Source organism: Homo sapiens, chromosome 1 (assembly GCF_000001405.40).
Source record: "Homo sapiens chromosome 1, GRCh38.p14 Primary Assembly".
Lineage (NCBI taxonomy): Eukaryota > Metazoa > Chordata > Mammalia > Primates > Hominidae > Homo > Homo sapiens.
In genome coordinates this window covers 13,185,175-13,201,845 of record NC_000001.11, presented here as the reverse complement: position 1 = coordinate 13,201,845, position 16,671 = coordinate 13,185,175, and the positions used below count along the sequence as shown (strand labels likewise).

General features: G+C 43.9%; 1 protein-coding gene across 2 annotated transcripts; it reads left to right on the top strand.

The window, feature by feature from the left end:
• The first annotated feature begins 436 nt into the window (after nucleotides 1-436).
• PRAMEF13 (PRAME family member 13) lies at nucleotides 437-5,658 on the top strand. Of its 2 annotated transcripts, NM_001291380.1 has the most exons (4): nucleotides 437-514; nucleotides 2,232-2,543; nucleotides 2,940-3,518; nucleotides 4,465-5,658. In NM_001291380.1, the coding sequence occupies exons 2-4, from the start codon at nucleotides 2,257-2,259 to the stop codon at nucleotides 5,021-5,023; spliced, it is 1,425 nt and encodes a 474-aa protein (NP_001278309.1). In that variant the 5' UTR covers nucleotides 437-514; nucleotides 2,232-2,256; the 3' UTR covers nucleotides 5,024-5,658. The 2 variants fall into 2 exon arrangements, with proteins under 2 accessions (NP_001278309.1, XP_011539760.1); XM_011541458.1 differs by lacking the exons at nucleotides 437-514; nucleotides 2,232-2,543; nucleotides 2,940-3,518 and adding an exon at nucleotides 3,702-3,994 and having other exon boundaries at nucleotides 4,465-5,023.
• Nucleotides 5,659-16,671: the final 11,013 nt, after the last annotated feature.

Genomic DNA, 16,671 nt, shown 5'->3' with positions numbered 1-16,671 from the left:
TGTTTTCTTGGGAATGACATCACTATCTTCTTCAGGCTATTGTAGCTCTGAAACATTTTGACAATTTTGATGTGGCCAAACATCCTCCAATAAGGACACCTTAAGGTTTTTTTTTTTTTGGCCTAATATCAGGAACAGATTAATCCCTTCCCTACATCACTACGAAAGTCGTGTATTAGCCAAACTTCATCAGTATTTGGGGAATAAATGAACGAATGAGTTTTAGACTTTCACCCTATTATTTATTCTTTTACTTCCATAAATGTGTATCTAATTCAATCGATTAGTCAGAAGAAAGCTGAAAACTCAATCAGGATTAACTGGGTGTGACTGCAAGATCTAATCAGGTATCAGTTTCTGATTGGAAGCTGGTGATTGAGAAGGGAAGGGTGGGGTTAGAAAGGTCTATAAAAGCTCCTGAGGGTACCCAGAAGAGACCCACAGCACTCATTCCTGGAGCTACTGCTTGGTTCCCTGAGAGGTCCCAGAACTCTGCAAAGTGAGTCCAGCGCTGGTAAGTCACCACCTGCTTAGGGTCATGCCCATCTGATCAGCAGCCAGCCAGTCAGGGACGGTGACACACATCCCAAAGTGGCACACAATATTTTTCTGTCTGTTTCGTGAGATGAACAGATTTAGGCTTTCATTTTTCCTCTAAATGTAGTTTTGTCTTCATCCATCAAATTGTGATTTGTGCTTGGTTTTTGTCATTTTAAAATTCTTATCGAAGCAGGTTTTTTAAAAATATATTAAAAATTTACAGTGACATGAATTTTTATTTCTTGACATTTGAAGTTATTTGTTTTTGTGCCTTTCAATTACAGTTCATAGACTTGGTGTTATTGTGATTCTCCAAGTATGCTTTCATTTTCATAAAATCCTTAAAGGTATCCCACACAGCAATCTCAAGAGTGCAGTTTTGCTCAGATCATGGGATTTATCTTTGCCCCTAGGATCCATCAAAAAGTGGGTAATTGTGAGTATGTGGAAGTGATGTCTATAGGAACCTTCATCTCAGAGTTACAGTGCTCTAGAATAGCATGGTAGCACTTTTACAGTTTTTGAGATGGAGTTTCCCTATTGTTGCCCAGGCTGGAGTGCCATGGTGTGGTTTGGTTCACTGAAATTTCTGCCTCCTAGTTACATGCGATTCTCCTGCTTCAGCCTCCTGAGTAGCTTGGATTACAGGCACTCACCACCATGCCCAGCTAATTTTTGTATTTTTAGTAGACACAGGGTTTTGCCATGTTGGCCATGCTGTCCTCAAACTCCTGACCTCAGGAGATCTGCCCCCCTCAGACTCCCAAAGTGCTGGGATTACAGGAGTGAGCCACCGCGCCCAGGTACAGTTAGCATTTCTATACATACCTTCCAAATGCTGTGGAATACCATCACACCACTTTTACAGTTCCAGTGAATTATTTTGTTTTTTTTCTGGGATGTACTCTGAGTGTGTCACCCAGACTGGAGTGCAGGGCCCTGAGCTGGGCTCCCTGGAAACTCTGCCTCTGGGCTTCAAGTGATTCTCCTTCCTCTGCCTCCAGAGTAGCTAGGATTACAGTCATGCATGACCACACCTGGCTAACATTTTAATTAATTAATTTATCAATTTGTTTTTGTTTGAGTCTGAGTCCAACTCTGTCACCCAGGCTGGAGAGCAGTGGTGAGATCTTGGCTCTCTGCAACCTCTGCCTTCTGGAGTCAAATGATTCTTAATTTTTTTGTATTTAGTAGAGACATCGTTTCATTATGTAGGCCAGGCTGTTCTCGAACTCCTGACCTCAAGTGAACTGCCTGCCTTGGTGTCCAGCAGTGTTGGGATTACAGACATGAGCCACAGCACCTGGTCCATTTCTGGTAGAAAATTTTCAAAATAAAAAATAATGGCATCGATTTTAGGGAGTCCCTTTAGTGTTCCCCCAGCATGTTTATGGTGTAAACTGAGAATGGAGGCTGTCTGGGGCCACAGGACACTCTCATTCTCATTGCTTTAGGTTGGTAAGTGACAAGAAATTTTTCCTCAAAGAGGTAGAGCTTGGCTTTCAGGATCCTCAGTGGCACTGTCCGGTGGTTCTGGGATTCAGTGGAGCAATGGATGAAAATTAATAAGCCAGTGGTCTCCTTGACCCCTCCCTCCTTGGTGTTTGGAAGACATTCTTCCTGGTACCAGTAGAAGCAGATGATTGTGTTTGCCATGAGAGTGATACATTTTCCCTGGATTTGTCTTCTAGAGATTTTCCTTGCAGATCTATCAGGATGAGCATCCAGGCCCCACCCAGACTCCTGGAGCTGGCGGGGCAGAGCCTGCTGAGAGACCAGGCCTTGTCCATCTCTGCCATGGAGGAGCTGCCCAGGGTGCTCTATCTCCCACTCTTCATGGAGGCCTTCCGCAGGAGACACTTCCAGACTCTGACGGTGATGGTGCAGGCCTGGCCCTTCACCTGCCTCCCTCTGGGATCACTGATGAAGACGCTTCATTTGGAGACCTTAAAAGCATTGCTGGAAGGGCTTCATATGCTGCTTACACAGAAGGATCGCCCCAGGTGAGGTGACCCAGGAGGGCTGGTAGATAGGGCTCAGGTGTCCAGGGAAAGAACAGCAGGGTCAGGCAGAGAAGTAGCCCAAGTGTAGCCCAGAGTCTTCTGATGGTGTTGGCGAGGAAGATCAGGGAGGCTTTGGCCATTGTCCAGATCCTCAGAGAAAGGACTGCTCACCATACAGGGTCCACTGTGGGAACAGAAACCTGCCTTTTCTCAGTGGAAGGTAAAGGGAATAGAAGTGGGGACCACTCAGAATCCAAAGGGAAAAGGGATCAAGAAAAGACAAAGAGAACAGGGAGCACTGAGGACAGGAGCAGCTGATTTATGGGATGACAATGAAAGCAAAGGTCAGGGATTTGTCCTTCTAAATTCTGAGCCTCTCCCTTACTTTACCCACAGGAGGCGGAAACTTCAAGTGCTGGATTTGCGGGATGTTGACGAGAATTTCTGGGCCAGATGGCCTGGAGCCTGGGCCCTGTCCTGCTTCCCAGAGACCATGAGTAAGAGGCAGACAGCAGAGGACCGTCCAAGGATGGGAGAGCACCAGCCCTTAAAGGTGTTCATAGACATCTGCCTCAAGGAAATACCCCAGGATGAATGCCTGAGATACCTCTTCCAGTGGGTTTACCAAAGGAGAGGTTTAGTACACCTGTGCTGTAGTAAGCTGGTCAATTATCTAACGCCGATTAAACATCTCAGAAAGTCATTGAAAATAATATACCTGAATAGTATTCAAGAGCTGGAAATTCACAACATGTCCTGGCCACGTCTGATAAGAAAGCTTCGTTGTTACCTGAAGGAGATGAAGACTCTTGGCAAACTCGTTTTCTCCAGGTGCCATCATTCCACGTCAGATAATGAACTCGAAGGACGGTTAGTCACCAAATTCAGCTCTGTGTTCCTCGGGCTGGAACACCTCCAGTTGCTTAAAATAAAATTGATCACCTTCTTCAGTGGGCACCTGGAACAGCTGATCAGGTGAGGAAGGATCATGCATTTTTTATGCAGACCACAGCATAGCCTTGTTCTCTTACAGCAAACATTAGAAGGCGTGTACTGTGTGCCAGCCAGTGGCAACGTCACAGTGAAGGGGACACCAGAATGTCAACACATTGTCCCATTCAGTGTTCCATGTCCTGGAGTGGCTATCACAGGATCGCTCCAATAAGGGCAGAGGGGTCACCTGGGGTAGAAGCTAGAGAGGGACATCATGTACAAGCTAGTTAGTGGGGGTTTCAGCTCTATTGGGGGTGCACGTGTGAATTTCCTGTTACAAAGTGTGTTTCAAGTTGATATGATGTCAAAGAGATAATAGAGGAGGGTATGAAAGGAGGGAAAGTGCATCAAACCTGTCCATTTCACAATAGAACGTCTGTCCTCACCGGCTTAGTGATCACGAATGATCCTGTCTCTGATTCCCTGTTTGTAAAAGGTTGTTTTGAACTCCAGGAAAGGTAACTGACATGGGAAATGCGTGCTTCTGGGATGGAGGTGAGGTAGTAGGCGTGAGAGTGGTAAAAAGTGACAGTTGGTTTGCAGATGCAGGCATGTCAGGTAGCCCCTGCCGACATGTAGCCCTAGCTGATGTCCCTAGACCTTGCTGAGTTGAGTTCTTTGTTCACATCTCCCACCGGGTACCTGTGGCCCAGAGATAAAGTTTTCTGCTAAAAGATGAAAAAAAAAAAAGGCTTTAGAGATTTTATGGCCTTGACCCAATCACACAAGCAATGGTGAAAGGGCTGATTCTAAAATGGGACAGCCCCTGAACGATCAGGGTCCTCATCATGCAGCAACTTCCATGAGGACCATCATCAGATGGTGGGAACAAACTTGTGTTTGTTTGACGCAGGCATTTTCCTAGATGAAGGCACTACCTTCATCTAACTGGTACCATTGCCCAGAACTAACTTCTTGATCTCCACAGGTGCCTCCAGAACCCCTTGGAGAACTTGGAATTAACTTATGGCTACCTATTGGAAGAGGATGTGAAGTGTCTCTCCCAGTACCCAAGCCTCGGTTACCTAAAGCATCTGAATCTCAGCTACGTGCTGCTGTTCCGCATCAGTCTTGAACCCCTCGGAGCTCTGCTAGAGAAAATTGCTGCCTCTCTCGAAACCCTCATCTTGGAGGGCTGTCAGATCCACTACTCCCAACTCAGTGCCATCCTGCCTGGCCTGAGCCGCTGCTCCCAGCTCACCACCTTCTACTTTGGCAGAAATTGTATGTCTATGGGTGCCCTGAAGGACCTGCTGCGCCACACCAGTGGGCTGAGCAAGTTAAGCCTGGAGACGTATCCTGCCCCTGAGGAGAGTTTGAATTCCTTGGTTCGTGTCAATTGGGAGATCTTCACCCCACTTCGGGCTGAGCTGATGTGTACACTGAGGGAAGTCAGGCAGCCCAAGAGGATCTTCATTGGTCCCACCCCCTGCCCTTCCTGTGGCTCATCACTGTCTGAGGAACTGGAGCTCCATCTTTGCTGCTAGGGAAGGCATGCCCAGTGGGGTAGAGAAATCCAAAGTTCTCTTCCAGGCACTTGGACACTAAAATCTACTATGTAGGTGCAAGCTATTTTTCTCTTTTCTTATTTATTTCATTTTTTAATAATTCCAAAATTTTTATTAAAGACAATTTGAGACAGGGTTTCTCTGTGTTGCTCTGGGATCCTCCTGCCTCAGCTGGGCTTATGGGGTCCTCCTGCCTCAGCTTCCTAAAGTGCTGGGATTACTGGCATGAGTGACTGTGTCCAGGCCACATGCAACTTAAAGGAAGCACAGGGAAGTGCTCAGTGTGAGGGAGAAAACATAACAGCAGGGGGCAAGGCTGGAGGAAAATGTTGAGGTGACATCAATGAGAACTTCAGGGACCCGTGTCCTACAGAGTCAGAAAGAGAAGCTAAAGTTCTACAGTGATGAGAATGTTATCCCTGCAAGGATGGTTACCAAGGAATATCAGAAATAAAGAGCACCTGAATGAAAACTTTTAACCTGTTGTAGCAATTTATCCACCAGAAATATCTAGTTATTGAGTTACTGATGGAAAAATAATGAAATACTACTTTGTCTGTGATTGAGTTTCAGCTGTAGAACATCAAAGCAACCAAATAAAATTTGATCATTTTAAGTATTTCCCACCCATTCTTGTTCTTTGTTTTGTTTTGGAGACAAAATCTCAGTTTGTCATTTAGGCTGGAGTGCAGTGGTGCAATCTGGGCTCATTGCAATCCTTTCCTTCAGGGCTCAAGTGATTCTTGTGCCTCAACCACTCAAATAGCTGGGACTGCAGGCACGTTCCACCAAGACTGGCTGATTTTTGTATTTTTAATAGAGATGAGGTTTTTCCGTGTTGATCAGCCTGGTCTCAAGATCCTGGCTTCAAGTGATCCACTGACCTTGGCCTCCCAAAGCGCTGGGAAAACAGGCATACAGATGATCTCCACCCATTCTTTACTTCTCTTCAGTCATCAGTTTTTTTCTTACTTTTTTGCCCACGGGGAGCAGCTCGGTCAGGCGCGAAGGGACGGGCAGAGAGGGGCCCCAAGGAGAAGACAGGAATGGGGTGGTGCCACGCTCGCACAAGATGTGCGGATGCCAGGCCCAGAAGGCATAGCTGGGGCCATCCATCAGGGGGCCAGGGTGAGAAGCAGAAATGGCACCTGCTTCAAGGACCTGGCCAGCTATCTGGCCACTGTGCCCATCCTGCTAACAGTGTCAAGCTCCCAGGTCTTGAAGGGAGGTTCTATGCGGATCCACCCCAGGCTGTGTTTCCGAGATCCGCCCCCCATAGGGGTGACCAGCCCGATTGCTGGGCCTGGGAACCATGAACCACTCCTGGAGGCACTCCCCTTGACTGGGTCATGAGCCAGGCCTGTGCTCCATTTCCCTGAGGCAGCCAACTGTGCCACCCACACCCTCTCATCGCAAAATGGAACCTTGTCCCAGGTCTGGAGTCTCCACCACAGCCTCTACTTCACTGCTCACTGCCTGCTGTTAGCCTGCAAGCTCCTGGATGATAGTGCAGTTGGGGCTGGTTAAACCACACCCAGGAGCATTGGGTTTGTTTGTGCGGGGTTGGTCAGAGCTGCTGTGTATCTGCTTCTCAACTGTCACTTCTGCAGGGAAACACAGAGAAAGGGCACATCCAAGGCTGCGTACACTTCAGAGCTGATGGGAGCCTGGGACAAGAGGGAGTCCTGGTCCTCCTGAGTTGGCAGGGCAGTAGCTCCAAAGACGCAACTGAAGTTGTCCAGGTCACAGTTACCAAATGAGGTCCCCCAGTACTCTCGAGGGTCCAGGAGATCCCCCCTTCTCCTGCAGCTTGGGGGTGTCCGCTCTCACTGCCTCATCTCTCATGGCACCTGCTCTAATTTTGGAGTGTGGTTGTGGTCAAGCCCAGATGCTGTCGCAGCCCAGGTGGGTCTGTGCACACTCGGGTCAGTGCTGATGCACCATCCCACTGCTGTCTTGAACCCTCTGGACTTTGGGCCTTGATGAGTGTAGGAGGGAGGCTGAGGGGTGTTGCGGACTGATCAGCACTGGTCTTTGGATGCTCCTTGGTACAAGTGACCTGGGCTCCATGGTTGGTGGTGGGAGGCAGACAGAATCCTGGACAGGAAGGTGAGGGTCACTGGTGAAGCTCCACCTTCTGATCAAGGAGGGCCTGAAGCCCGTGGGCTGGGCCACCAGTCCTATGGACCAGAGTGGGAACATGTGTTGCCTTTTCTGTGCCTGCTCATGGCCACCTATGACCCAATGAGTGCATACTTTCTCCTGTCTGATGTCAAAAAAACCCCAGACTCAGGGAGAACATTAGGAAGACCAGTGGCAGAGAGGAACTACCCACTGTGGGGATGATTTTCCTGTAGAGACAAGCAACCCCCTCCGGGTCCTTTTCTCTGCTGAGAGCTGTAGAGATGATGAGATGACTTTCCTGCAGAGAGCAGCAACCCACTCCAGGGCCTTCTCTCTACTGAGAGCAGTGGTGATGATGGAATAACCTGCCAGGAGGGAGGGGTCACCCACCCCAGGGCCTCCTCTCTGCTCAGTACTAAACACTCATCAGGACGCCCTGGCTGCAGAAAGAAGTTACCCACTGTGGGTCTCTGAGCTGTTCTATTGTTCAATAAAGCTCCTCTTTATCTCACTCACCCTCCACTTGTCTGCATATTTCACTCTTCCTGGTCACAGGACAAAAACTTGAGACCCGCCTAATGGTGGGGTAAAAGAGCAATAACACAAATAAAGCTGAAACATGCCCCTTGCTCACCAAATTGTAGGTGAAGAGAAAAAGAGAAGAGCGACTACTCTTCCAGGAGCCCAGATGTGGGAGCTTCCTGAGCCAGGGCTGTGACTCCCTTTTGGGGGTTCTGCAGTTCCTGGCATTTCCAAGCTTTCAGTGTTGGTGTCACTGTGTATTCCAGTGACAACCATGGAAGCTGTTTGTGCTGTGCCTGATTCATTTGCAGCCTTGCAGAAATCTGGCACACATGCTGACACCTGGAGCTGCCCAACCCACTGCTGCAGCAGCAGCAGCCGGTGACCGTCCAAAGTGGCCAGACCCCCTGCTCACTCACACACCCCTCACCACTCCAGCCCTGACCCACCCTTAATAGGCATGTGCTCCAGGCTTGAAACATGAGCCAAGCATAGTCTACCAGGCTGCATGGGCAGAACGAACCCAGTGAACCCCATCAAAACTCTGGCAAAGGTGCCCCCAGCCACAGAGGTTTCTGGCCAGAAGAGTCACATTCTAAGTATTCCAGAAGAGAAAATTACTTAAACACAAAGAAAGACAATAAGAAAAGGATGGAAGAGAGAAGTCTCTAAACAACCAAAAAACAAGAAATGAAATGGGAGCACTAAGCCTTTATCAATAAAAACAATGAATATAATTTATCTGAATTCTGCAAGTGAAAGGCATAGGGTCTTTGAATGAGTAAAAACATAAAACCCTACTATATGCTGTTTTCCAGAAACTTAATTCACCTATAAACATACATGTAGATGGAAAGTGAAGGGGTAGAATAAGATATTCCATGCAACTGGAAACCAAAAACAGCAAGAGTAGCTGTACTTATATCAGGTAAAATAGATGCCAAATCTCACAATGCACTCAGATAAAACAGAATACAAATCTGAGCTTGTAAAATAATAGACTACGCTTACACAAACTATGCCTAGAAAGAACATACATCAAAATAATAGAAGCCAAAAATGACAAATCCACATGCAACATCATATTGAATGAAGAAACGTTGAAAGTATTCCTGCTAGGAACTACAAGCAGACAAAAATCCTCACTTTATCCACTTGTAATCAACATAGGACTGAAAATTTTTGTCAGAGCAATCTGGTAAGCAAAAGGAATAAAGTATAATTAAATTGGAAAGAAGGAAGTGAAACTACCTGTGTTTGCCAATGATGTGATCATATGTGCTTAGAAAACTGGAAAGATTCCACCAAGACTCATAGATGCGATAAGTGAATTCACTTAAATCTCAGGTACAAAATCAATATGTACAAATAAGTACCACTGTTTGATACCAACAACAAGTAAGCTGAGAATCAATTCAAGAACTCCATCCCTTCACAATAGTTGCAAAACAACAACAAAAACAGTGACAATAACAAAAACAACCTAGGAATACACTTAACCATTAGGTAAAGGATCTCTATCAGATGAACTACAAGACACTGCTGAAAAAAATCATAGACAACAAAAAAGTAGAAAAACAGCCCATGCTCACGGATTGACAGACACAATATTGTGAAAATGACCACACTGCCCAAAGCAATCTAAAAACTGCAAACATCAAACATCAATCTAAAAACGTCAGTCTAAAAATTTCATACACCAAAATACAAACACCATTTTCACAAGATTAAAAAAAGAATCCTAAGATTCATATGGAGATGAAGAAGAGCCTGAAGAGCCAAAGCAATCCGAAGCAAAATGAACAAATATGGAGACATCACATTACCTGACTTCAATTTATACAGTAAGGCAACAGTAAGCAAAACTGCGTGGTGCCAGTATGAAGGTCGAGACATAGACCAATGGAATGGAATAGAGAACCCCGGAATAAAGCCGCATACTTACAACCCAGCGGTAGGACTGCTGCTTCTCAGTTTGTGCTGAGTGATGCCCCTTGGGGATATGGGGCCAAAGTTACTGGATTTTTCCCCCAAGAAAACCAGAGAGTGAATTGTGATATCCTGTGTGATTTTTAGACTGACTATTGCCATAGTGCTTAGGTCGTCTCCAGGTGCCCAGAGACTCAATCACCAACCAGTGTCCACATTCTTGTCACCGCTGCAAGAAAGAGTTTAGGAAGTAGGCAGAATGAAGCAAAAGGCAAGAAGTGTCTATTGCAAAGCAAAGGAACACACTCAAGAGAGGGCTTATTCAGGAGAGCGAGTCAGGTACAAGAGAGTTTGGGTTTCTAATTTTATAGGATCTGTAAGGAGAGGTTGAAATAATCATTAGGATTTTAAGAAAAAATGGTGAAGTTTTCTTAGAACTGAGGTGTCACCTATTTATTTATTTATTTATTTATTTATTTATTTATTTATTTATGTTTTGAGATGGAGTTTCGCTCTTGTTGCCCAGGCTGGAGTGCAATGGCGCGATCTTGGCTCACTGCAATCTCCGCCTCCCGTGTTCAAGCAATACTCCTGCCTCAGCCTCTGGAGTAGCTGGGGTTACAGACATGCACCACCACACTCGGCTAATTTTGTATTTTTAGTAGAGACGAGATTTCTCCATGTTGGTCAGGGTGGTCTCAAACTCCCGACACCAGGTGATTCGCCTGCCTCAGGTTCCCAAAATGTTGGGATTACAGGCATGAGCCACTGCACGTGGCTAGGTGTTAACTATTTTTATACTAAATATGGGCATTCTCAGAACCGTCCTGGCGCTGGTGTGTGACTTACTGTCATAATAGGTGTATAATTAGGCCTGGGGTAGGGCAAGGGTCAAACCCAGTGCCATGTCTGACCAATTCAGTGTCAGCCAGCTTAGCCCCTTCCTGCTTGTTCGGATCTTATGGGTCAAGGCTTATCCTTATTCTTGCAGCTAATTTTACAAGCTCTTTTCTTGCTGCTATATGAAATCACTGCTTGATATTTTCATGCTTCTCCTGTGACCAGCCAGCTTTCCTATTTTATGGGTATTTCTTTTCTTCTCCCTTCCCTTCCCTTCCCTTCCCTTCACCTCCTCTCCCATCCCCTCCCCTCCACTGTCTTTTCTTTTCCTTTCTTTCTTTCTTTCTTTTTTTCTTTCTTTCTTTCTTTCTTTCTTTCTTTCTTTCTTTCTTTCTTTCTTTCTTTCTTTCTTTCTTTCTCTCTCTCTCTCTCTCTCCTTCCTTCCTTCCTTCCTTCCTTCCTTCCTTCCTTCCTTCCATCTTTCTTGCTTCATCTCTTTCTTTCTTTCTTTCTTTCTTTCCCTTTCTTTCTTTCTTTCTTTCTTTCTTTCTTTCTTTCTTTCTTTCTTTCTTTCTTTCTTTCCACTTTAAGTTCTGGGATACATGTGCAGAACGTGCAGTTTTGTTACATACGTATACACATGCCATGGTGGTTTGCTGTACCCATCAACCCGTCATCTACATTAGGTATTTCTCCTAATGCTACCCCTCTCCTAGCCCTCCACACCCCGAGAGGCCCTGATGTGTAGTGTTCCCCTACCTGTGACCATGAGTTCTCATTGTTCAACTCCCACTTATGTGGTGTTTTGGTTTACTGTTCCTGTGTTAGTTTGCTGAGAATGATGGTTTCTAGCTTCATCCATGTCCCTGCAAAGGAAATGAACTTATTTTTTATGACTGCATAGTATTCCATGATGTATATGTGCCACATTTGCTTTATCCAGTCTATCATTGATGGGCATTTGGGTTGGTTCCAAGTCTTTGCTGTTGTGAATAGTGCTGCAATAAACATACTTGTGCATGTGTCTTTATAGTAGAAGGATTTATAATCCTTTGGATATATACCCAGTAATGAGATTGCTGGATCAAATGGTATTTCTGGTTCTAGATCCTTGAGGAATTGCCACACTGTCTTCCACAATGGTTGAACTAATTTACACTCCCACCAACAGTGTCAAAGCATTCCTATTTCTCCACATCCTTTCCAGCATCTGTTGTTTCCTGACTTTTTAATGATCACCATTCTAACTGGCATGAGATGGTATCTCACTGTGGTTTTGATTTGCATTAGAGAAATGCAAATCAAATGACCAGTGGTGATGAACATTTTTTCATATGTTTGTTGGCTGGATAAATGGTTTTTTTGGAGAGTTGTCTGTTAGTATCCTTCACCCACTTTTTGACAGGGTTGTTTGTTTTTTTCTTGTAAATTTGCTTAAGTTCCTTGTAGATTCTGGATATTAGCCATTTGTCTGATGGATAGATTGCAAAAAATTTTCCCATTCTATAGGTTGCCTGTTGACTCTGATGATAGTTTCTTTTGCTGTGCAAAAGCTCTTTATTTTAATTAGATCCCATTTGTCAATTTTGGCTTTTGTTGCCATTGGTTTTAGTGTTTTAGCCATGAAGTCTTTGCCCATGCCTATGTCCTGAATGGTATCACCTAGGTTTTCTTCTAGGGTTTTTATGGCTTTAGGTCTTACATTTAAGTCTTTAATCCATCTTGAGTTAATTTTTGCATAAGGTGAAAGGAAGGGGTTCATTTGCAGTTTTCTGCATATGGCTAGCCAGTTTTCCCAACACCGTTTATTAAATGGGGAATCCTTTCCCCATTGGCTGTTTTTGTCAGGTTTGTCAAGGATCAGATGGTTGTAGATGTGTGGCATTATTTCTGAGTCCTCTGTTCTGTTTCATTGGTCTACATATCTGTTTTGATAACTGTACCATGTTGTTTTGGTTACTGTAGCCTTGTCGTATAGTTTGAAGTCAGGTAGCGTGATGCCTCCAGCTTTGTTCTTTTTGCTTAGGATTGTGTTGTGTATACAGGTTCTTTTTTGCTTCCATATGAAGTTTTAAGTAGTTTTTTCTAATTCTGTGAAGAAACTCCATTACAGCTTGATGGGGATAGCATTGAATCTATAAATCACTTTGGGCAGTATGGCCATTTTCATGATATTGATTCTTCAGACCCATGAGCGTGGAATGTTTTTCCATGTGTTAGTGTCCTCTCTTATTTCCTTAAGCAGTGGTTTGTAGTTCTCCTTGAAGAGGTCCTTCACATCCCTTGTAAGTTGTATTCCTATGTATTTTATTTTCTTTTAGCAATTGTGAATGGGAGTTCACTCATGATTGGCTCTCCGTTTGTCTATTGTTGATGTATAGGAATGATTTTGATTTTTGCACATTGATTTTGTATCCTGAGACTTTGTTGAAGTTGCTTATCAGCTTTAGGAGATGTTGGGCTGAGATGATGGGGTTTTCTAAATATACAATCATGTCATCTGCAAACAGAGACAATTTGACTTCCTCTCTTCCTATTTGAATACTCTTTATTTCTTTCTCTTGCCTGATTGCCCTGGCCAGAACTTCCAATACTATGTTGAATAGGAGTGGTGAGAGGGGGCATCCATGCATTGTGCTGGTTTTCAGAGGGAATGCTTCTAGCTTTTGCCCATTCAGTATGATATTGGCTGTGGTTTTGTCATAAATGGCTCTTATTATTTTTACATACGTTCCATCAATACCTAGTTTATCTAGAGTTTTTAGCCTGAAAGGGTGTTGAATTTTATCGAAGGCCATTTCTGCACATATTGAAACAATCATGTGGTTTTTGTCATTGGTTCTGTTTATGTGATGGATTATGTTTATTGATTTGCGTAAGTGGAACCAGCCTTGCGGATCAGGGATGAAGCCGACTTGATATTGGTGGATAAGCTTTTTGATGTGCTGCTGGATTCGGTTTGCCAGTATTTTATTGAGGATTTTTGCATCGATGTTAATCAGGGATATTGGTCTCAAATTCTCTTTTTTTGTTGTGTCTCTGCGAGGCTTTGGTGTCAGGATGATGCTGGCCTCATAAAATGAGTTAGGGAGGATTCCCTCTTTTTCTATTAAGTGGAATAGTTTCAGAAGGAATGGTACCAGCTCCTCCTTGTACCTCTGATAGAATTCGACTGTGAATCCATCTGGTCCTGGACTTTTTTTGGTTGGTAAGCTATTAATTATTTCCTCAATTTCAGAGCCTGTTATTGGTCTATTCAGAGATTCACCTTCTTCCTGGCTTATTCTGGGGAGGGTGTATGTGTTGAGGAATTTATCCATTTCTTCTAGATTTTCTAGTTTATTTGCATAGAGGTGTTTATAGTATTCTCTGATGGTAGTTTGTCTTTCTGTGGGATCCGTGGTGATATGCCCTTTATCATTTTTTATTGCATCTATTTGATTCTTCTATCTTTTCTTTATTAGTCTTGCTAGCAGTCTATCTATTTTGTTGATCTTTTCAAAAAACCAGCTACCGGATTCATTGATTTTTTGAAGGGGTTTTTGTGTCTCTATTTCCTTCGGGTCTGCTCTGATCTTAGCTATTTCTTGCTTTCTGCTGGCTTTTGAATATGTTTGCTCTTGCTTCTCTAGTTCTTTTAATTGTGATGTTCGGTTGTCAATTTTAGATCTTTCCTGCTTTCTCTTGTGGGCATTTAGTGCTATAAATTTCCCTCTACACACTGCTTTGAATGTGTCCCAGAGATTCTGGTATGTTGTGTCTTTTTTCTCATTGGTTTCAAAGAATGTCTTTATTTCTGTCTTCATTTCGTTATGTACCCAGTAGTCATTCAGGAGCAGGTTGTTCAATTTCCATGTAGTTGAGCGGTTTTGAGTGAGTTTCTTTTATTATTATTATTATGCTTTAAGTTTTAGGGTACATGTGAACAACGTGCAGGTTTGTTACATATGTATACGTGTGCCATGTTGGTGTGCCGCACACATTAACTCGTCATTTAGCCTTAGGTATACCTCCTAATGCTATCCTATGCAGCCATAAAAAATGATGAGTTCATGTCCTTTGTAGGGACATGGATGAAGCTGGAAACCATCATTCTCAGCAAACTATCACAAGCACAAAAAACCAAACACTGCATGTTCTCGCTCATAGGTGGGAATTGAACAATGAGAACACATGGACACAGGAAAGGGAACATCACACACTGAGTGAGTTTCTTAATCCTGAGTTCTAGTTTGATTGCACTGTGGCCTGAGAGACAGTTTGTTATAATTTCTGTTCTCTTACATTTGCTGAGGTGTGCTTTACTTCCAACTATGTGGTCAATTTTTGGAATAAGTGCAGTGTGGTGCTGAGAAGAATGTATATTCTGTTGATTTTGGATGGTGAGTTCTGTAGATGTCTATTAGGTCCGCTTGGCGCAGAGCTGAGTTCAATTCCTGTATATCCTTGTTAACTTTCTGTCTCATTGATGTGTCTAATGTTGACAGTGGGGTGTTGAAGTCTCCCATTATTATTGTGTGGGAGTCTAAGTCTCTTTGTAGGTCTCTAAGGACTTGCTTTATGAATCTGGGTGCTCCTGTATTGGGTGCATCTATATTTAGGATAGTTAGCTCTTCTTGTTGAATGGATCCCTTTACCATGATGTAATGGCCTTCTTTGTCTCTTTTGATCTTTGTTGGTTTAAAGTCTGTTTTATCCGAGACTAGGATGGCAACTCCTGCCTTTTTGTGTTTTCCATTTGCTTGGAAGATCTTCCTCCATCCCTTTATTTTGAGCCTATGTGTGTCTCTGCATGTGAGATGGGTTTCCTGAATACAGCACACTGATGGGTCTTGACTCTTTATGAAATTTGCCAGTCTGTGTTTTTTAATTGGAGCATTTAGCCCATTTACATTTAAGGTTAATATTGTTATGTGTGAATTTGATCCTGTCATTATGATGTTAGCTGGTTATTTTGCTCTTTAGTTGATGCAGTTTCTTCCTAGTATCGATGGTCCTTCCAATTTGGCATGTTTTTGAAGTGGCTGGTACCAGTTGTTCCTTTCCATGTTTAGTGCTTCCTTCAGGAGCTCTTTTAGGGCAGGCCTGGTGGTGACAAAATCTCTCAGCATTTGCTTGTCTGTAAAGGAATTTATTTCTCCTTCACTTATGAAGCTTAGTTTGGTTGCATATGAAATTCTGGGTCGAAAATTCTTTTCTTAAGAATGTTGAATATAGGCCCCCACTCTCTTCTAGCTTGTAGAGTTTCTGCCGAGAGCTCCGCTGTCAGTCTGATGGGCTTCCCTTTGTGGGTAACCCGACCTTTCTCTCTGGTTGCCCTTAACATTTTTTCCTTCATTTCAACTTTGGCGAATCTGACAATTATGTGTCTTGGAGTCGCTCTTCTCAAGGAGTATCTTTGTGGCATTCTGTGTATTTCCTGAATTTGAATGTTTGCCTGCCTTGCTAGATTGGGGAAGTTCTGCTGGATAATATCCTGAAGAGTGTTTTCCAGCTTGGTTCCATTCTCCCCATCACTTTCAGGTACACCTGTCAGACATAGACTTGGTCTTTTCACATAGTCCCATATTTCTTGGAGGCTTTGTTCATTTCCTCTTATTCTTTTATCTCTGAACTTCTCTTCTCGCTTCATTTCATTCGTTTGATCTTCCCTCACTGATACCCTTTCTTCCAGTTGATGGAATCAGCTACTGAGGCTTGTACATTTGTCACGTGGTTCTCGTGCCATGGTTTTCAGCTCCATCAGGTCCTTCAAGGACTTCTCTGCATTGGTTATTTTAGTTAGCCATTCATCTAATTTTTTTTCAATGTTTTTGACTTCTTTGCCATGGGTTCGAACTTCCTCTTTTAGCTCAGAGTAGTTTGATCATCTGAAGCCTTCATCTCTCAACTCATCAAAGTCCTTCTCCCTCTAGCTTTGTTCCATTGCTGGTGAGGAGCTGCGTTCCTTTGGAGGAGGAGAGGAACTCTGATTTTTAGAGTTTCCCATTTTTCTGCTCTGTTTTTTCCCCATCTTTGTGGTTTTATCTACCTTTGGTCTTTGATGATGCTGATGTACAGACTGGGTTTTGGTGTGGATGTCCTTTCTGTTTGTTAGTTTTCCTTCTAACAGTCAGGACCCTCAGCTGCAGGTCTGTTGGAGTTTGCTGGAGGTCCACTCCAGAAGCTGTTTGCCTGGGTATCAGCAGCAGAGGCTGCAGAACAGTGGATAC